The sequence below is a fragment of the Homo sapiens genome, chromosome 5, assembly GCF_000001405.40.
Source record: "Homo sapiens chromosome 5, GRCh38.p14 Primary Assembly".
Classification (NCBI taxonomy): Eukaryota; Metazoa; Chordata; class Mammalia; order Primates; family Hominidae; genus Homo; species Homo sapiens.
This window is the reverse complement of record NC_000005.10, coordinates 74,342,323-74,365,117: the sequence shown is the minus strand read 5'-3', so window position 1 is coordinate 74,365,117 and position 22,795 is coordinate 74,342,323. Positions and strand designations below refer to the sequence as shown.

Genomic DNA, 22,795 nt, shown 5'->3' with positions numbered 1-22,795 from the left:
CACAGTGTTCCTATTCAAAGCCAAGACTCATAACTCTAACAATTCAGAATTCACAGCTTCCAAATGATACCGTAGTAGTTCATTCCATTCCTCACTGAGGTGGGAAAGCAGATGTTCTTAATGTCTCCAATTTCCAGATGAAGAAACTCCAATTTCCAGATAAAGCCCAGAAAATCCACTGATGTCTGAAAAGCTTACAACTAAGAAGCAGCTGAATCAGAACTTAAATTCAGAGCTTCCAATTCCAAATTAGGTCCTGTTTTCTCTATGCACTCCTCTGTGTTGATGCATAAGACCTAAGTTCCTCAACTCCCTCTTGGCCAGAGACCAGAGCAGGGCTTAGCCCACTCATAGCTTCAGGCCAGGTGGTCCCCAACATGCTGAGTGGAGGCGGGAGAGGTTGGGCGCCTGGCAGGTGACAGTGCTTCCTCACGCCTCACAACTGCTAAGACAAAAGGAAGGCACTCTGGGTGGGGACAGTAGCTGCTGCCAACCCAGAAGTAGTTCAGTGGTATAAGGGAAGTGGCCTCCTGCCATCAGGGCCTTGGATGGCACCGTGCTGTCCAAGTCCAAGCCATTTCACAAAATGGCCAAGTTTGAGAAAGAGCAGGTTCCTGTGAGTGTAAAAGTGGATCCAGATGAACATTCTCTTCCAAAGTCTTCGTGGAGCTTCCCCAGTGGGAATTTGGTGTCTTCTCCCTGTGTCACTGCAGACACGTTTCCCTAAGTTTAGTCTTGTCACACGATAGTGCCTGCTTTTAAAGTTGCCCATATGTGAACCGCACGCTCACTCTCTCCCTCCTCATGGTGTTAAAATGTGGGCGTGTGAAACACTCCTCCCCGGTTGAAATCCTTGTCGTGTTAGAACTATGTGTCCATTCTGTCCCCCGAGGGAAATGGAGGTCTCTGGATTTTGGCTAAAGCCCCAAAGCAGAATGCGGTGGGCAGTAAGTGTCTGCATATTATAAAGAAATCAGCCCCTCCAGAGGGAGGCCAAACAGGCCCTTTGCCCTTCACCCTGCCCACTATCCCATGAAGTCCACATTAGCAGGAGACACAGACTCATAGCAAGGGGAATCACTGACTGGTGAGCTGAGGGCTTTTGGGGACGGGGCTGTGGCATTTGCCCTCCCCTTCCCATGTTGCCCCCTTCAGGCAGGTGAAGGAGGGCTGAGGAGAACCCTCATCAGAACTGCCCTCGGGTGTGGCCCCTGCCGTGCCCTCTTCCTGGGAGAGAGGCCCTCTCTGGAATTCTTCAGCACACTCCTCCCCATGAAGCAGGAGCCAGAGCCTGTGGGATTAAGGGGACGTGTCCTCCTGGAGACCATGCCTCCGCCTCCCCATCACGTTCCAAGTGTCCAGGCCTTCAGAATGTGTCTCTTTCCAGGGCCTGCTCTGATCTGCTTTGGGTCCTTCCCCCAAGGTGGACTGTGCTCAGCTCTGGGCAGCAGTTTGGGAAGGATATGGGTGGATCTTGGATGTACAGTCTGGGTGGCTCACTGCCCTTATGGTGTGGAAAGGATTTGGGAGTGGGAAGAAAAGCAGAGCAGCTTGTCGGCCAGTGACAGGGTCTGAGGATGGGAGGAAAAGCTCAGATTCAAATTCCAAGAAGACCGAACATTCTAAATGCAAACTGACCTTTTAGGCCATTGAGGAGCTATATTTGTCAAGGTGGGAAGCTAGAACTTATTTTATTTAATAGTAATTTTGACTTGACTTGTAACTTTGAAACATTTCAATATTTGGCATTTTGGTCTCCATTTGGCTCTTGCCTTCATTGGCTTTTGCAATGTAAGGGGGACCTGCATGAAGGAAAGCTGCTCTCTGCTCCCTGGCTGGCTGAACATGATGTACGGAAGAGCAGGGGTTCACCCACTGCCTTGGGAGAGGTTTGCATGCATCCCTGAGAGTTTGGGGGTGGATGCAAATCTCAAGCCTGGAGCTTGCCTGGCGCACTCTGAACTCAGGGCTAGCTGGGGTGTGAGCTTCCTATGTGTGAGGTCCAGTGGTCCAGTCTTTAACTGAACTCTTGTCCTGGGAAGTGAGGCACTGATGGAAGGTGCTTGGTATTTCTTGGCCACGGCCAGAGATGGGGATGTGTCTTCTCAGCAGTCACTATCTAGAGGATGCAATCAAACGGATGCCTGGGTGTCTCAGGGGACCCTGAGTGACAGGGCTTCCTGTGAAGGCAAGGCATGTGGAACGGTCTTCCCCTTCTTCTTCCTAATCACCATTCCTCCTTCCCACTTCTGAACAAGCAGAATCAGCCTTCAGTTTCAGGAAGAAGGAAGCTTCAACATGAAGTGAGAGAGAAGTATTCTCTTGGAGGAGACTTGTTAATACCTGAAAGGCTCTTAACTACCAAAGGAGACCAGGTCTTGTTAGTGGAAGCAGCCCAGAAAGCTATGGAGTGAAGCCAAGACATTGGAGGGGCCTGGGGCTGAGAGTGGGGGAGGTGAAATCTCTCAGAGCTTGGGATGGGGGAAGGATAAACTTGTTTCCTTTTGTTCCCTAACAAGTTCATTAACCAGGTTATACTGTCAAAGATTCTGTGCTCACAAATAACCTAACACCAAACTTGGTATGTTCTTCCTTGGCCTTAATTCAGAGTGGAACATCTTTTTGCAAGAAAAATGAATATTGATTTGATAACTGGTCCTTAGGTAGGAATTACTTATCTCCTCTTAGTCTCTTCTGTAGGACGAGAATGATGGTACCTACCCAGGGAGTTAGGAAGATCACAGCGAGTGAGGAAGTGCATGTGGACAGATGCTCAGCAAGTCTCCATTTTCTCCCCGTCTCTTCCAAGCAATAAATGTATTAATATGGTTCACGATGAGAAATGTGAAACTCACAGGAGTGAGGCTCGTAACACCATTTCCCAGCCCCTCCGGCGTGGATCCTTTGTTGGTGGCTGCTGCCTGCCCTGTGCTCTCGGGTCTTGGTCTGGAGGGTGAGCCCTGCCCTTTCTTATGTGTCTCCAGTGAAGCCTTCTGCTCATGCTGAAAACAGCAAAGGTGGCTGGCTCAGCCTATCCCTTCACTCTCAATGTCTGGACAATTAATATGTCATTTCCTAATCAGTGTATGTTGATGCGTTATTTATTCTAGCATGATGATTGTGGCCAAAGATCACCTCTGGCATTGGCTCTCTATTGTTTTGTACATATTATTTCTCAGCACAGGCTTGAGAACAATGGGCTCATTGATTCCACCTGACTCTTGGGAAGGATGGACTTTGCCAGACTAAGGCTCTCTGAATGCCAGCCTGGAAGTTCATGAATCCCCTTTTAGGAGTAAGCTGAGCCTTTGCGGTTGGGAGTGGTGAGGAAGGGAATGTGCCTCTATTTTCCTTGCTATTTATTGCTCTGCATTAAAAAAAAAATCTCTTTGCTTCTCTGACCAGAAAGATGGTGTTTCATTGAGGTAGAGCCCATAGTAATTAGGCCAGCAATCAGCTTGTCCACACCAAAGTGCATCACTTGCATTCTCTGTGCACACTCTCTCTGCCTGCTCCACCCCGCCACATCCCTCCTCTGCCTCCCTGTTTACGCGTTTGGTTCAGAATGCAGAAACAATGAAGGTGTTTAGGGATCCTAGCCTCACGGGGTAGCAATTGGTACAGAGAGGCTGTGACACAGAGTGACCTGGAATTCCAAGTGGAAGATTGAGGTACGAGGACAGCTGAGATTGTGCTGTGGTCCTTTCTTAGCTGTATTCTTGTCCTGTGAGGGTCCAGTGGTCCAGTCTTTAACTGAACTGTTGTCCTGGGATGTGAAGATTACTATTGGGTGGCATTGAAAGGCCCCTTATAGAGGGTCTTTGATATTTCTTGGCCACTGCCAGACTTGAAACGTTAGTTTTGGGGATGTGTCTCCTTAGCAGTCACTACCGAGGGGATACAATCAACCCAGTGCTCTCTTTTGGTGGCCAGATGGCAACAAAACTGGTGTATCAGATATGTAATCCTCCTCTCCCTCAGCTCAGAAGGGCTGGAGGAAATCCACTCTCGGGGAGTTAAGGCTGCTCTGATATTATAAGGGTGTATGTTGGCCAAGGCTCAGAGTGAGTCCTCTGGGAACCAAAAGTCCTGAATGATGGTATTGTTGCACTTGATTGCCTCTGAGGAGTGGTCTGAAAGAAAAGAAGAGATAAAGTAGAAATGTTAAATGTTTCCAACAAAAGCTATTAGGGGAGAATTTCCTGACTCAGTACTTGTTGGCATTTTTTGAGGTTTTTTACAGACAACATAAGGTTACTCTTTTTTATGTGTGTGGTTTATTTTGTTGTTTAGTTTTTCTTTCAGCTTATTGGTTTTCATTGATGAGAGTGTTGTGCAATCCAGGGGCCCAGGCGTTGCCAGGAAAAGAGGGGAGCCATTCGGTGACCACTCATGCTAGGTGCCAGCAGAAGCCTGAGTGTGGCCTTGCTACCCTGGCTTCTGCTGAAGTTTGACCCACCCTCATCTAAACACATCGGAGCCGTTCTCTTGGCAGCCTCCAGTCTTGGGAGTGTTTTCCTTCCCACTCCTGTGGAGCACTGGCTTATTAACCTACCCACCATGTGACCCCGACTTCTGCGGAGGGGTGAATTGTGTCTTCCTCAAATCCATATGTTGAAGTCCTACCCCTAGTACCTCAGAATGTGATGTATTTGGAGAGAGGATCTTTACAGAGGCGATCAAGTTAAAATGAGGTCGCTAGGGTGGGCTCTAATCCAATATGACTGGTGTTCTTATGAAAAGGGGAAATTTGGGGACAAACCCACACACAGGAAGAACACCATGAGGAAGACAAAAGCAGAGGTTGGGGAGATGCTTCTATGTGCTAAGGAAAGTCAAAGACTGCACACATCTTTGAACATCAAATATGACACTTTGGCATTTGAGAAAACAGCAAAAGCAGGAAGGCCACTATCACCTTCCCTTAGCCCTTTTCTCCAGAAGTAGGTCATAAAATCTAGAAAGAATTTTCTGACCTTCCCCTGCAGCAGGTCATAAGACTTGATGGGAGAGCTGCCCTCCCTATAGCTGGAGGAAAGAAACATCCTTATCTCTGAGGACAGGGACACAGACGAATCTGAACAAACAGGCCTTGCTAAATTTCCCCCCCATTTATTACTATTAGGTCACACCTCCTTTGTCCAATCATACTTCTTCACAATTATCCACTTCTTCACCAAGCTTAGGATAACTTTACAGATGTTTCCCTCTTTTTTTGGGTCTTCATTTCCAAAGGTTATGCTGTGTAAAACTTATATTAAATAAATTTGCCACGCTTTTCTCCTGTTAATCTGTCTTTTGTTATAGGGGCCACCACAGTCATGAACCCAAGAGGGGAAGAAAAGATATTTCTTGTCCCCTAAAGACTTCTAGCCTCCAGGACAGTGAGATAATGAATTCCTGTTTTTTTACCCACCCTGTCTATGATGCTTAATTACAGCAGTGCTACCAAACTGATACTATACTAGTTAAATAACTTGGAATTCTCAAGTTGACTTTGTCTTCCTCTTTATGGTTTTTCCTCTCCCCTTCCCCTCACCCTCCACTGTACTACATTGGATTAGGTCATGCTATGGAGCCAGATTGGTCAACTCAAAGCTCTGCCATTTACTAGTCGTGTGTCCATAAGCAATTTGTGCCTTTGTTTCTCCATCTATAAAATGGGAATAATAAGAGTAACACCTTCTTCTTAGAATAAAGGTAATAATTGATGTAAGTCACCTAAAACAGTGCCTGCCTTGAATGGCAGAAGTTCCCAATCACTGTGCACAATCCAAGTATGTAGATGTCAAGTTTACTGAGTGCCTACTCTGGACAAATCCAGTGGTGTCAGTACTGAAGGAATAGATTCCAGATTAATAGAAGACATTGTTTCTGTTTAGCTTTTCACTCCTGGGATTTATGATGTAATTGGAGACATGAGACACTTAGAGGAAACAGTTCACAATGCAAGGCATGATGTGATCACAGGATCGCAGGATCAGCGTGCTGGCTCCCGAAAGCGTTTCTGACCCTAACAGCACCTGAGAACCACTGAGGGTGCTTTGAAAACAGACCACTGCCTGGGCCCTTTCCCTAGACCAGTTAAACAGAATTTCTGAAACTTGAATTAATTGGTGAACCCCTCTGTGCCTCCATTTCCTCATCTGCAAAATTAGGGCAATACTTTACCTCAAATCTATTGCTGTGAAAATAAAAAGAGTGAATGCACGTAAATGCTTGTAATAGTGCCTGCCACACAATAAACACTCAATAAATGTGAGCTCTCATTGGTGAATAAATATTCAAACATGAATACCTAGTAGACTCTGCTGAAGCTTTTCAGAATGTTGATGCCTATTCACTTGGAAAACTCTAAGAACGACTTTCTCTGCTGTCCTTGTTGTGTGAAGGCTATGGCAGTTTTAGAGTGCTTGAAACTAGCGCTCCTTGTTGGGCAGCATAGGAGGACTAGGTCCTTCAGTTATTTACTTAAGTTGGTGCACACAATTTAGAGACATTTTAAAGGAATATTGCAGTCAACAGCTCCACAAATAATGCTGCAGAAACACAAAGATGAGCTGGCTGGGCCAGTGGAGGAAAGGCAAATGGGTTCTCTGGTAGATTCAGGAGGAAAAGTGATCCCAGAGCATGAAGGTTTAGGATATTAAAGATAACGGGCCTTTGCTAAGTGCTAGGCCTTCTCCAATGGGCTATACATGCATGATTTTATTTAATTCTTACACCAAATGGATGGTGGCTATTATCCATTCCCACATTACAGATAAGGGATGAAGGCCCAGAGGGGTTAAGTAACTTGCCTGAAGGTGGTAGAGAAATGATTTAAATCCAGGCTGTCTCCAGATCTGCTCTCTTAACCACAGCATCACAGCCTCTGGACCCACATGGAAGACCCTGTGGCTGAATCTGCAGGTGGGTCACCTCAGATTCATCCTTCATCCTTTCCTCTTTAACTATTTTTCTTCTGTTTTGATCACCTCCTCTTGAAGAGTGAGGGATTCCCATCCTAGGGATGCAGGCATGGCTGAATGAAACATGATACCTGACACTGGACAGATGGTATGAACGGTGGTTTATTGGTACATATGTCTGCTCAAAGCCCCGGGAGGAGGACACCTCATGCCGTGCAAGGCCACATGGCTGCTGCGCTTGGAAACGGAGGGAACAAGCAGAGAGAGGCAAGCTTTGTAGCATCAGGAGAGTGGTGTGCCCCCTGGTTTGTGAGGGAGAATGTATTTACCTTGTTTGAATAATTCCTTGGTCTGGCAGGGAACTGAAGCCACTGCTCAGGGGTAAGCAGGAACTGTGTCTGGCTGCTGCTTTTTTTTTTTTTTTTTTTGAGATGGAGTCTTGCTCTTATCACCCAGGCTGGAGTGCAATGGCACGATCTCAGCTCACTGCAACCTCTGCCTCCCGGGTTCAAGTGATTCTCCTGCCTCAGCCTCCCAAGTAGCTGGGACTACAGGTGCCCACCAGTACGCCTGGCTAATTTTTGTATTTTTGGTAGAGATGGGGTTTTGCCATGTTGGCTAGGCTGATCTCGAACTCCTGACCTTGTGATCTGCCTGCCTCAGCCTCCCAAAGTGCTGGATTACAGGTGTGAGCCACCACGCCTGGTCTCTGTCTCTCTCTCTTTTTTTTTTTTAGAGATGATGTCACCCAGGCTGGAGTGCAGTGGTACAATCATAGCTCATAGCTCACTGCAGCCTTGAACTCCTGGGCTCAAGTGATCCTACCATCTCAACCTCCTGAGTAGCTGGGACTACAGGTGCAAGCCACCGTGCCCAGCCCTATTTGACCTCTGATAAAGAGTGTTGTTTGGCTAGAAAACCTTATCCTCAGAAGCAGAGTGAGGAGGGGAACTTGCATCTAGGCCATTTGGGGCCTGCCATACTTTGCCAGATGTCAAGACAGCACGTAATATTGGGTGTTGACTTTAGGTCTTATATCACACCTTCTTCTTTTGTCTTCATCCTTTCCCCCACTTCCTGTGCTTTCCTTTTGTCTCCTCTCATTCTTAGGCAATGGGTTTAAGGTCAAAGACACAGGCCTGGGCTCAGATTCTTGCCCTATCACTGACCAGCTGTGCAGTTATAGGTGAGGTTCTCAAGATCTCTTGGCTTCTGCCTTCTTATTCCTAGAAATCAGAAAATATAAGTCTCTTTAAAATGCATCTGTTTTGAGATCTAAATGAAAGCCTGAAAAGCCTTTTATCACAGTGAAAAGTGCTCAATAAATGTCAGCCATGCTCATTTAAATGGCCTAACTCTGGTAGTGACATTTGGGGCCAAAGGATAGCTCTTGATGGCTGGGTCTGAAAGCCCGTTTCAGGATGAGGTAGTGTCAGCTCTGTTAAGGTAACAGGATTGGGCCTGAGCTGTTAGAAACTTGGCCTCAATAAGACTCTAGCTGAGGTATCTTTTCTTTCTCAAGAATCTCAAGGGCTTAGGCCAGCACAGCCTGTGCACTCATGCTTTTAAAAAAACCAAAAACCCAAAACCAAACAGAAAAATGCAGCAACAATAGCTGCTTGGGCCCACATGTCACTCTATTATCTCCCACCGTTGGCCTGTGCCAGTACAATCAATTGTTCCACGGTCCCATTTGGTAACTTGGAAACTGTTTGCGCTGAGGATCTATGATAAGCACTTTGGCTGGAACTAACGTCCCTTTGGAGGTGAGGAGGGAGAAAAGGAAAGCAAGATGACCTGGCTGGGGACAGGCAATTCTCTAAATGCTGGCCTAAAGGGACTGAGTTCTTGAAAGCAGGTGACTAGAAAGAGAATATTGTTCTACTTCCTTCTTTTTTCTTTATTCTCTGGGCTCACATTTCTAAGATCTTTAATTTTCAAAACTTAAACAAGAAAGTGTATTAATCTTAAATGTCTCCCATTAATCATCAAGTCCAGCCCAGCGACGAGAGATAGATGACTCACTTCCACAGGTGATTTCTTGGTAATGGTGGGTCAAGGTTTGCCCCTCCATTTCCCCTACTGTCTCACTAATGGAGAAAGCGTCCCCTTAGGAAGTACCTGTCTTGGAGCAATTTGTCAAGGGAAAATTGCAGGTGGGAATAGCCACTGACAAGAAAATATTTCTCTTAGGGAAACAAGGTGAGTAGCATAGCATGGTGATTATAAGCATAGGCCCTACCTTTGAGAGTTGTTGTAGGATTAAATTACAGAATTAAATAAAGCACATAATTCAGTGTGTGACATAGTAAGTAGGTCTGCGATAAATAGTGAATATTTACTACACCCCTTTACATGCCAGACACTGTACTGAGGACTTTTGCCATCATTTGAGCCACATCATATTTCATTGACTGAGCTATTATTTCCCTCTGGTTTACAGACGGGGAAACCAAGATGCTACGTGACTTGCTCAAGATCACACAGGTAGTAAGAGACAGAACCAGGATTTGTACCCATGTAATCTGACTCTGAAGTGCATGTTCCAATCACTACACATGCTGCTCTCGGTGAACAGTGACTCTTACTATGAAACAGGAGGCAAAATGAGCTTGCTGCCATGAGGATAGAGCCCAGGATGTTGTCCTGTGTGTTGTAGAGTGATGTATCCTCTTCTACCTCAACGACCACTAGGTTCCTGTAGGCAAATTAGGAGTGATTGAGCCATGAGGAATAAATCCAGCCACTCCACTGCTTTTGCTGACTGATACTCAAGTTCTTTTGTAGAAACTTGAAATTCCACAATATCAGTAGGGAAGAATAAGAGGTTACTTTTAGTTCCCCAGGCAGTGTGCCAAAGGTTGAGATGCTCTTTAAAAAATTTTAAAGAGTTGCCCTTTCTGACCGTGACAAATCTCATCCCATAAATGTCAGATAAGTTGCTCTGCCACACAGCAGGTGGTCTGTCCCCAACTCCCTGTTAGTGCTGGGCCCTGGCAAAGTCAGGAGGTTGTGCGGTGGGTTCTACAGAGGGCCCTGTCCAGACATGGATGCCCTGGGGCTTGGGAGAGGGCTTCCAGAATGTGGGGCAGGAGGTAGTGCTGAAGGACAGCTTCAAATTCTGGGAATACTTGGAAGAGTGAAAAGGCAAGTCTATTTTCATATGGTTGAAGACAGCCCTACCCTCTAAGACCATTTGCAGATGTGAGTCTAGCAGTTTCTATGAAATGTCTTTGTCCCCAACTGGCAGAATCTAGAAAAACCTCGTGGGGTTGGAATGACCCAATTTGCTGACTCCAAAGCCAGGCTTTGGTCATCATGCAGGCAATTCTGTCTTCATGCGGTTGCATGCAGGTGAGGCTGGAGCAGACAGCATGTTCTGGAACACCTTAATGATGTCAGGACGCTTTTCATTGCTCATCTATCACGTAACAGCTCAGATTTGCAATGTGCTACCTGCGTTCTCCCTTTAGCACAGACAATGCGTTCTTTCAACAGTGTGCGGCTCCATGGGAAAGGCTCTGCTGAAAGTGAAGTGGTGGGGTCCACAGCTGCCCCTCTGGGAAGGAGTGGTATGGGGGCAGGTGGGGACCAGATGCCTGGCCACAGCCGAGCTGGGGATGAGCACATGGAACAACCGCTTCTGGTTACACTTACTCGTTTCTCTGTGCTGAAAGGTGTCATATAAATGCTAAGAACAGAGAGAGATGGGGCCTATTTATTTGCATTTTGTCTAATGTGAGCAGATGCAGATAGAAAAGAGGCTTAGCCACAGCCGTTCACCTGCCCCGCTAGGCCTTCCATCTTCAGTTCATTTCAATGCCTCCCGCGTCAGTTCCGCTCCAGTGCTGCAGCAGACATGGCATGGGGTGCAAAAGGGGCACATGCCCTCTGTCTTCAGTGGGTTTGCAAAACTTGTGAAAGAGACAGGTTTAACCACAGGAACCATCTGAGGACAATACAACCCAGCATATGGCTCAGTGGTAAGTCATGGGGAACAATTGAAATGCTGGAGGAGGTTGTGGAAGAGAGGACCACGCGTGGATGGGCAGGAAGGCTTCTTAGGGGAAATGAACTGGACTTGCCCTGTGAAGCTGGCCAGCAGGTAGGTGGGCAAAGATGGTGAGCATCGATTGTCTACGCCCTTTGCCAGACCCTCACATCTGCTATTCTACTGACATACTCCCCTCCTCTCTTTCAGTGGTTGGGTCTCCCTTATCAATTAGGACTTGGCTTAAAAGACTTCCACGAGGCTTTCCTCAACTGTTCTAAGTAGCAGTGCTCTGCACTGCATTATTCTCTATCACAGTATTCTGTTTTTTCCTCCCTCAATGTAATACAATGTATAATTAGATGTTTGCTTGTTTCAGTCTTCCCCATTGCATTTCAGCCACCACACAGTCAGGGGCCATATGTCTGCTTCATTCACTTTTATATTCACAGACATGCACAATGCCTGGAGCCTAAGAGGTGCTCAGTAAATACTTGCTGAATGAATGAGTGACCTTTGAGGAAAGCCTCATTAGCAAATATATTTCTTGGCCAGTTGAATCCAAGCTCTTGTTTTATATTCCAGAAAGAAAACCTGCAGATTCCATTGATCTGGCATGGAGCTGGATGTCTTTCAGGATGAAGAGTTTTCATTAAAACACAGCCACAACAAAGCAAGAAAAAAGAGCAATTGATGTAAGCATGCCAGTCAGGTTCACATGTTAAGAAACAGAATAAGGCCGGGCGCGGTGGCTCACGCCTGTAATCCCAGCACTTTGGGAGGCCGAGGCGGGCAGATCACGAGGTCAGGAGATCGAGACCATCCCGGCTAAAACGGTGAAACCCCGTCTCTACTAAAAATACAAAAAATTAGCCGGGCGTGGTGGTGGGCGCCTGTAGTCCCAGCTACTTGGGAGGCTGAGGCAGGAGAATGGCGTGAACCCGGGAGGCGGAGCTTGCAGTGAGCCGAGATTGCGCCACTGCACTCCAGCCTGGGCGACAGAGCGAGACTCCGTCTCAAAAAAAAAAAAAAACAAAAAAAAAAAAACAGAATAAAAAGAAATAAAAATTGATAAACAATTGTAAATCATACCAAGGCCCTGCATAAATATGACTTGCTATTATGCATAATACAATACATGGCATTTTTGTCTTGGAACCTGTCCAATGTGGTTTATTATTGGAAGAATTGGGTGAATCTTGTTAAAACACAGCTTTACCTGAAATTTGATCCCTAGGTGTGAACCCAGAGGACAATCTTATGGGGATTTTCCAATTATGGTTTTAAGTAAGGAGTTGTGGAATTCTCATTTCATCCTCTTCAAAATTTCTTGCTTTAAATGAATGAGTAGACTGAATTATTCTCCTTTTAAAAAACAATTGTTTTGCTTGGTGAAGACCAGAAGAATCATGCCAGTTCTAATGCAGGAGAGAAATACATTTTAAAAAAGAAATATCCTTGGCTATACAGTTGATTGCCTTTCTATTCAAATTTAATCTGAGCAATATATAATTTTAATTACAGAAATTAGAGGCTACAAATCAGAAATATCCTTACATTTCTTGAGTTAACAAAAATGATCTTCCTTTACTTGTGTAAAATTTCATTTGGAAAAAGGGAAAAGAGAGTAAAGAGATGGAGTAAAAAGATGTGCATCTGTAATGTTGGCTCTGTGCAATCAGTATCTTGATAATCATATTTTATACAAACTCTCCGGCAAAACCAGAGTCAAGATGTTTTAGGAATTACTCCTCCTCACTCCTCCACCCCCACATTCCACCACTGGGAGTCAAATTGTCTGTGGAAAAATACATCCTAATATTAAAAACGGCTTTCTGATTGAACTGTGGCATATTCTTGAAGCTGCCGTGCAAGAGTCTCTTGCAAGAGTTTAAAAATTCTATAGATCAGGTACTTAATGATTTACAGAATAGGAAAAATAACGCTGGTGGTTTGAGCTGAAAAGCACTTTGTCAGGACTGCCTATGATCTTCTTAATACTGACAAAGAATAATGATACATATTTCTATCCATTATGGTTGGGTTGAGGTGAGGGTCAAAAGCTGGGTTCTATGAGATACTGATTCCTAGACGGTCCCCATCCTCCTCATCCCCACTGGTCTCTGGGCTGAGTCTATACTCAGGCAGAGGAGAGATAACTGCTATAGTCAAACTCAGGACTGCTGTGAGGGATCTATTTCTTTCTTTCTTTCTTTTTATTTATTTTTTTGAGATAAGGTCTCACTCTTTCACTCAGACTGGAGTGCAGTGGCGCAATCACGGCTCACTGCAGCATTGACCTCCTGAGCTTCGGCGATCCTCCCATTTCAGCCTCCCCAGTAGCTAGGACTACAGGTGTACACCACCACAACCAACTAATTTTTTGTGTGTATATTTTTTGTAGAGACAGGGTTTCTCCATGTTGCCCAGGCTGTTCTGGAACTCCTGGGCTCAAGTGATCCACCTGCCTTGATCTCCCAAAGTGCTTGGATTATAGATGTGAGGCACCATTCTGGGCCAGGATCTATTTCTTTTGTGCCCTGGTTTATTTCAGGGTGTTGTATGCAGGACACTGATCAACCCTCACATTCTCTGCCTACAGTGTATATAACTGTGCTGAAGGGGCTTTTCCCAGAGCCAGACTCTAAACCTTGGATATACACAGATGCCCAAATGCTGTAAAGTACTATAGAGTGCAGATCATTATATAGTATGAATATGATCATTTCCAAAAAGCAATGTGATTTTAAAACTTGCTTTATTGCCTAAGCTCTGGAATTGATTATTTTTCAATCTTTTTTGGATACCTGTGTTATCTTGGTCAATGTAAATTAATAAGAATGATGGTTATGAATAATGTGCTGTCATTGACATTTACTTGGATGTCAGAGAATGGATGTTAGCAGTGGGGATATCTGTGTGGATGCAGAACCTGGGACTCATTCCTTCTTACTCACTACCTTTAGAATTTATTCTTCCTGGGGGCAGTTCCAAGATGGCTGAATAAGAACAGCTCCAGTCTATAGCTCCCAGCATGAGAGATGCAGAAGACGGGTGATTTCTGCATTTCCAACTGAGATACAGGGTTCATCTCACTAGGGCTTGTCAGACAGTGGGTGCAGGACAGTGGGTGCAGCACACCAAGAGTGAGCCGAAGCAGGGTGAGGCATCACCTCACCCAGGAAGCACAAGGGGTCAGGGAATTCCCTTTCCTATCCAAGCAAAGCTGTGACAGACAGCACCTGGAAAATCAGGTCACTCCCACCCTAATACCGCACTTTTCCAATGGTCTTAGCAAACGGCACACCAGGAGATTATATCCCATGCCTGGCTCAGAGGGTCCCACGCCAACGGAGCCTCACTCATTGCTAGCACAGCAGTCTGAGATCGAACTGCAAGGCAGCAGCAAGGCTGGGGGTGGGGGGGTGCCCGCCATTGCTGAGGCTTGAGTAGGTAAACAAAGTGGCCGGGAAGCTTGAACAGGGTGGAGCCCACCACAGCTCAAGGAGGCCTGCCTGTCTCTGTAGACTCCACCTCTGGGGGTAGGGCATAGCCAAACAAAAGGCAGCAGAAACCTCTGCAGACTTAAGTGTCCCTGTCTGACAGCTTTGAAGAGAGTAGTGGTTCTCCCAGCATGGAGTTTGAGATCTGAGAACGGACAGACTGCCTCCTCAAGTGGGTCCCTGACCCCCGAGTAGCCTAACTGGGAGGCACCCCCCAGTAGGGGCAGACTGACACCTCACACGGCTGGGTACCCCTCTGAGATGAAACTTCCAGAGGAAGGATCAGGCAGCAACATTTGCTGTTCAGTAATATTCGCTGTTCTGTAGCCTCTGCTGCTGATACCCAGGCAAACAGGGTCCGGAGTGGATCTCCAGGAAACTCCAACAGACCTGCAGCTGAGGGTCCTGACTGTTAGAAGGAAAACTAACAAACAGAAAGGACAATCTGTACGTCACCATCATCAAAGACCAAAGGTAGATAAAACCACAAAGATGGGGAAAAAACAGAGCAGAAAAGCTGAAAATTCTAAAAATCAGAGTGCTTCTCCCCCTCCAAAGGAACGTAGCTCTTCACCAGCAACGGAACAAAGCTGGATGGAGAATGAGTTTGACGAGTTGAGAGAAGAAGGCTTCAGAAGATCAAACTTCTCCAAGCTAAAAGAGGAACTTCAAACCCATCACAAAGAAGCTAAAAACCTTGAAAAAAGATTAGACGAAAGGCTAACTAGAGTAACCAGTGTAGAGAAGTCCTTAAATGACCTGATGGAGCTGAAAATCATGGCACGAGAACTACATGATGAATGCACAAGCTTCAGTAGCCGATTTGATCAACTGGAAGAAAAGGTATCAGTGATTGAAGATCAAATGAATGAAATGAAGCGAGAAGAGAAGTTTAGAGAAAAAAGAATAAAAAGAAACAAACAAAGCCTCCAAGAAATATGGGACTATGTGAAAAGACCAAATCTACGTCTGATTGGCGTATCTGAAAGTGACGGGGAGAATGGAACCAAGTTGGAAAACACTCTGCAGGATATTATCCAGGAGAACTTCCCTAACCTAGCAGGGCAGGCCAACATTCAAATTCAGGAATTACAGAGAACGCCACAAAGATACTCCTCGAGTAGAGCAACTCCAAGAAACATAATTGTCAGATTCACCAAAGTTGAAATGAAGGAAAAAATGTTAAGGGCAGCCAGAGAGAAAGGTCGGGTTACCCACAAAGGGAAGCCCATCAGACTAGCAGCAGATGTCTCAGCAGAAACTCTACAAGCCAGAAAGGAGTGGGGGCCAATATTTAACATTCTTAAAGAAAAGAATTTTCAACCCAGAATTTCATATCCAGCCAAACTAAGCTTCATAAGTGAAGGAGAAATAAAATCCTTTACAGACAAGCAAATGCTGAGAGATTTTGTCTCCACCAGGCCTGCCCTAAAAGAGCTCCTGAAGGAAGCACTAAACATGGAAAGGAACAACTGATATCAGCCACTGCAAAAACAGGCTAAATTGTAAAGACCATTGATGCTAGGAAGAAACTGCATAACTAATGAGCAAAACAACCAGCTAACATCATAATGACAGGATCAAATTCACACATAACAATATTAACCTTAAATGTAAATGGGCTAAATGCTCCAATTAAAAGACACAGACTGGCAAATTGGATAAAGAGTCAAGACCCATCAGTGTGCCATATTCAGGAGACCCATCTCACGTGCAGAGACACACATAGGCTCAAAATAAAAGGATGGAGGAAGATCTACCAAGCAAATGGAAAACAAAATAGGCAGGGGTTGCAGTCCTAGTCTCGGATAAAACAGACTTTAAACCAACAAAGATCAAAAGAGACAAAGAAGGCCATTACATAATGATAAAGGGATCAATTCAACAAGAAGAGCAAACTATCCTAAATATACATGCACCCAATACAGGAGCACCCAGATTCATAAAGCAAGTCCGGAGTGACCTACAAAGAGACTTAGACTCCCACACAATAATAATGGGAGACTTTAACACACCACTGTCAACATTAGACAGATCAACGAGACAGAAAGTTAACAAGGATATCCAGGAATTGAACTCAGCTCTACACCAAGCAGACCTAATAGACATCTACAGAACTCTCCACCCCAAATCAACAGAATATACATTCTTCTCAGCACCACATTGCACTTATTCCAAAATTGACCACATAGTTGGAAGTAAAGCACTCCTCAGCAAATGTAAAAGAACAGAAATTATAACAAACTATCTGTCAGACCACAGTGCAATCAAACTAGAACTCACGATTAAGAAACTCACTCAAAACCATGCAACTACATGGAAACTGAACAACCTGCTCCTGAATGACTACTGGGTACATAACAAAATGAAGGCAGAAATAAAGATGTTCTTTGAAACAAATGAGAACAAAGACACAACATATCAGAATCTCTGGGACACATTCAAAGCAGTGTGTAGAGGGAAATTTATAGTACTAAATGCCCACAAGAGAAAGCAGGAAAGATCTAAAACTGACACCCTCACATCATAATTAAAAGAACTAGAGAAGCAAGAGCAAACACATTCAAAAGCTAGCAGAAGGCAAGAAATAACTAAAATCAGAGCAGAACGGAAGGAGATAGAGACACAAAAAATCCTTCAAAAAAATCAATGAATCTAGGAGCTGGTTTTTTGAAAAGATCAACAAAATTGATAGACCGCTAGCAAGACTAATAAAGAAGAAAAGAGAGAAGAATCAAATAGACACAATACAAAATGATAAAGGGGATATCAACACCGATCCCACAGAAATACAAACTACCATCAGAGAATAGTATAAACACCTCTACACAAATAAACTAGAAGATCTAGAAGAAATAGATAAATTCCTGGACAAATACACCCTCCCAAGACTAAACCAGGAAGAAGTTGAATCTCTGAATAGACCAATAATAGGCTCTGAAATTGAGGCAAGAATTAATAGCTTACCAACCAAAAAAAGTCCAAGACCAGACGTATTCACAGCTGAATTCTACCAGAGGTACAAGGAGGAGCTGGTACCATTCCTTCTGAAACTATTCCAATCAATAGAAAAAGAGGGAATCCTCCCTAACTCATTTTATGAGGCCAGCATCATCTTGATACCAAAGCCTGGCAGAGTCACAACAAAAAAAGAGAATTTTAGACCAATATCCTTGATGAACATCAATGCAAAAATCCTCAATAAAATACTGGCAAACTGAATCCAGCAGCACATCAAAAAGCTTATCCACCATGATCAAGTGGGCTTCATCCCTGGGATGCAAGGCTGGTTCAACATACGCAAATCAATAAATGTAATCCAGCATATAAACAGAACCAATGACAAAAACCACATGATTATCTCAATAGATGCAGAAAAGGCATTTGACAAAATTCAACAGCCCTTCATGCTAAAAACTCTCAATAAATTAGGTATTGATGCAACGTATCTCAAAATAATAAGAGCTATTTATGACAAACCCACAGCCAATATCATACTGAATGGGCAAAAACTGGAAGCATTCCCTTTGAAAACTGGCACAAGACAGGGATGCCCTTTCTCACCACTTCTAGGCCAGGGCAATCAGGCAGGAGAAAGAAACAAATGGTATTCAATTAGGAAAAGAGGAAGTCAAATTGTCACTGTTTCCAGATGCCATGATTGTATATCTAGAAAACCCCATCGTCTCAGCCCAAAATCTCCTTAAGCTGATAAGCAACTTCAGCAAAGTCTCAGGATACAAAATCAATGGGCAAAAATCACAAGCATTCTTATACACCAATAACAGACAAACAGAGAGCCAAATCATGAGTGAACTCCCATTCACGATTGCTTCAAAGAGAATAAAATACATAGGAATCCAACTTACAAGGGATGTGAAGGATCTCTTCAAGGAGAACTACAAACCACTGCTCAGTGAAATAAAAGAGGACACAATCAAATGGAAGAACATTCCATGCTCATGGATAGGAAGAATCAATATCGTAGAAATGGCCATACTGCCCAAGGTAATTTATAGATTCAATGCCATCCCCATCAAGCTACCAATGACTTTCTTCACAGAATTGGAAAAAACTACTTTAAAGTTCATATGGAACCAAAAAAGAGCCCGCATTGCCAAGTCAATCCTAAGCCAAAAGAACAAAGGTGGAGGTATCACGCTACCTGACTTCAAACTATACTACAAGGCTACAGTAACCAAAACAGCATGGTACTGGTACCAAAACAGAGATACAGACCAATGGAACAGAACAGAGCCCTCAGAAATAATACCACACATCTACAACCATCTGATTTTTGACAAACCTGACAAAAACAAGAAACGGGGAAAGGATTCCCTATTTAATAAATGGTGCTGGGAAAACTGGCTAGCCATATGTAGAAAGCTGAAACTGGATCCCTTTTACACCTTATACGAAAATTAATTCAAGATGGATTAAAGACTTAAATATTAGACCTAAAACCATAAAAACCCTACAAGAAAACCTAGGCAATACCATTCAGGACATAGGCATGGTCAAGGACTTCATGTCTAAAACACCAAAAGCCATGGCAACAAAAGCCAAAATTGGCAAATGAGATCTAATTAAAGAGCTTCTGCACAGCAAAAGAAACTACCGTCAGAGTGAACAGGCAACTTACAGAATGGTAGAAAAGTTTTGCAATCTACTCATCTGACAAAGGGCTAATATCCAGAATCTACAAAGAACTCAAACAAACTTACAAGAAAAAAACAACCCCAACCCCATCACAAAGTGGGCGAAGGATATGAACAGACACTTTTCAAAAGAAGACATTTATGCAGCCAACAGACACATGAAAAAATGCTCATCATCACTGGCCATCAGAGAAATGCAAATCAAAACCACAGTGAGATACCATCTCACACCGGTTAGAATGGTGATCATTAAAAAGTCAGGAAACAACAGGTGCTGGAGAGGATGTGGAGAAATAGGAACACTTTTACACTGTTGGTGGGACTGTAAACTAGTTCAACCATTGTGGAAGTCAGGTGGCAATTCCTCAGGGATCTAGAACTAGAAATACCATTTGACCCAGCCATCCCATTACTGGGTATATACCCAAAAGACTATAAATCATGCTGCTATAAAGACACATGCACACGTATGTTTATTGCGGCACTATTCACAATAGCAAAGACTTGGAACCAAGCCAAATGTGCAACAACGATAGACTGGATTAAGAAAATGTGGCATATATACACCATGGAATACTATGTAGCCATAAAAAATGATGAGTTCATGTCCTTTGTAGGGACATGGATGAAATTGGAAATCATCCTTCTCAGTAAACTATCGCAAGGACAAAAAACCAAACACCGCATGTTCTCACTCATAGGTGGGAATTGAACAATGAGAACACATGGACACAGGAAGGGGAACATCAGACTGTGGGGACTGTTGTTGGGTGGGGGGAGTAGGGAGGGATAGCATTAGGAGATATACCTAATGCTAAATGATGAGTTAATGGGTGCAGCACACCAGCATGGCACATGTATACATAAGTAACTAACCTGCACATTGTGCACATGTACCCTAAAACTTAAAGTATAATAATAATAAAATAAAACAAAAAAAGAAAATGTGGCACGTATACACCGTGGAATACTATGCAGCCGTAAAAAAGGATGAGTTCATGTCATTTGTAGGGACGTGGATGAAGCTGGAAACCATCATTCTCAGCAAACTATCACAAGGACGAAAAACCAAGCACCGCATGTTCTCAGTCATAGGTGGAAATTGAACAATGAGAATACTTGGCCACAGGAAGGGGAACATCACACACTGGGGCCTGTTGTGGGGTGGGGGGAGGGGGGAGGGATAGCATTAGGAGATATACCTAATGTAAATGATGAGTTAATGGGTGCAGCACACCAACATGGCACATGTATACATATGTAAGAAACCTGCATGTTGTGCACATGTACCCTAGAACTTAAAGTATAATAATAAAAAAAAAATCTTAGAAAAAAAAGAATTTATTCTTCCTTCTACTGCAGAGGAATGCACTCTAAACAGGTAGATCTCTCAGTCACGCAAGTGGAATCTCCGATGTGGAAATCAAAGAGACCATATGCCTTCTAGCTTCCCTTCCTGAAGAACTGTCAGACACTTAACAAACTTTTAGGCTTGTGTGCAGCATCAGGGCAACAGGAATTGTATGAGTAGATAGAAGGCATCAGGCTCTAGCATGCATTATTTTTAAGCCAGAGAATTAAACTGAAAGAATACCGAGAAGAGAAAAACAAATTGATGAAATAGCATAGAAGACTGAGAAACAGATCAGTACACATAGGTTACTTGGATATGTGTGTTCAAAGTGGTACTAAAAATCAGTGGGGAAAAGATGACTTACTAAATTAATGATGTTGGAACAATTTCCAGGGAGAAGAAAATTGCTGGATTCCTTTCTCATACCACACACAAAAATAAACATAAGAAACAAAGTTATAAAATAATAAGAACAAAATACCGGATTTCTTCACTATTTCTAGAGTGAGAAAACTCTTTAAAATACCAATAAGTGTATCCTATAAAGAAAAATATTTATCCATTTGAGTATATAAAGTTTAAAATTAAAACAGGAAAGATGAGGCAGGGGGAGAATTTGTACCAGGTATTATAGGCAAAGGATTAATGTCCAAACCATATAAAGGAAGAGGTTGGTGGGAGGGGGAGGGCAGGTAAACTACTTACTGGGTACTATGATGACTACCTGGGTGACAAAATTATCTGTATACCAAACCCCTGTGACACACAATATACCCATGTAAGAAACCTGCACATTTACCCCTTGACCCTAAAAGTTGGAAAGAAAAAAAACAAAGGAAAATATACACATTCGAAAAAAAAGAGATAATACATAAAAGAAGAAGCCACTTTAAAAAAAAGCAAAGAGCAGAGAAAGACAATTCAAACCAGAATAAATCCAAATGGCAAATAAACACATTAAAAAAACTTTCTACCTTATTAGTAATCAGCAAAATGCAAATAAAGACAAGGAGATACACTTTTATTCCCAACAAACTGGCAAAATCAAAATGGTTAATGACATAAAATACTGGTGAGAAATGGGAGTTTACATTAGCTTATTAGTATATTTCATGAATGTAGTCAACTTTCGAGAGCAATCAGCAGTTTTTAGTAAAATCTTTGATAGGTATAATGTATGACTCAGCATTTCTACCCCTAGGTCTTCTTGTTTGTAGAGGCGAAGAATTGGAAACAACCCAAGTGTCTAGTCAGTACAGAATAGGAGTGGTTTTCAAAATATTTAGCAATAAAATAGGTACAGGCAGGCACCAGCCAATCAGAACATATGCTGGTCATAGAGTGGGGCAGGGTCCTGCCAGATCCGGGCAGAGTGTTTTGGGCAATATTTTAATAACAGGAATGGCTGTACTGGTGAGGATGCCTGAGTTTGCCTGGGTTATTTAGAGTAGAAGTCAAGGGACGGGATTCTGGATTCAGATCTTCTGGTGTTGAATTCTAGCTCTGTGGCTTAAGAGCTGTGAAACCTTGGGCTGATTCCTATTTCTGTCTTGCTTTAGTTTCTTCCTTATATACACCAGGGATTATAACAATCTCTTCCTCGTGGACTTGTTATGATGATTGAGATAATACACAAAAAGCTTTTAGAATACTTCCTGGCACATAATAAGCTCTCAATATATGTAGAAGGAAAATAGAAATGGACAAATAAAATGTACTGTATATTTATGGATAGAACATCCCATAGCAATTAGAATGAATGAACTGTATGCAATAACCTGGATAAAGTTCAAAAACAATTGTTGAGTGAAAAAGAAAGGCTTCAAAAAGATCAATTTATATTATTTATGAATGCATGTGAGAAATTAAAAGAGAAATATGGACCAGGGAGATACACATCAAATTCATGATATTGATTATTTCTGGAGAGGAAGGGGAATGTGATTGATGAGGAATACAAAATGGATTTCAGTCTTCTCAGTAATTTTTTTAAATCTAAAAGTAAAAAGTTCTGAAGCAAAATGACAAAAACATCAGCATTTGTTGATAGTGGTTTGACATTTATAATAATCTCTGAACTTTTCTGTATCTTTCATCTCTAAGAAAAAAAGAAGGAAGGAAGGAAAGAAAGGGAAAGAAAAAGAAAGAAAGGAAGGAAGGAAGGAAAGAAAGAAGCAAGGAATGAAGGAAGGAAGGAGAAAGAAAGGAAGGAAGATGGGCTAGGTATCAGGAGATCTGAGTGCTAGTACCAGTTTTGCCTCTAATTAGCTATGTGACTTTGAGCCAACCACTGAAATCTTTCTAGATTTCAACTTCCTGCACGGGAAAATCAAGTTAAGATAATATTTACCTTAAGGGAGTGTTTTTGAGAATTCAGT

General features: G+C 43.2%; 1 long non-coding RNA gene across 5 annotated transcripts in view; it reads left to right on the top strand.

Moving 5' to 3' along the window:
• The window catches only part of LINC01331 (long intergenic non-protein coding RNA 1331), a 209,330-nt gene that overhangs the window by 171,656 nt on the left and 14,879 nt on the right, over positions 1–22,795 (top strand). Inside the window, exon 3 of one of the 5 annotated variants that reach the window (NR_197437.1) lies at positions 11,488–11,597. The exons of the other annotated variants lie outside the window; for them this stretch is intronic. This is a non-coding gene — a long non-coding RNA (long intergenic non-protein coding RNA 1331). The remainder of the gene's footprint in view (positions 1–11,487; positions 11,598–22,795) is intronic. 5 annotated transcript variants of the gene reach the window in all.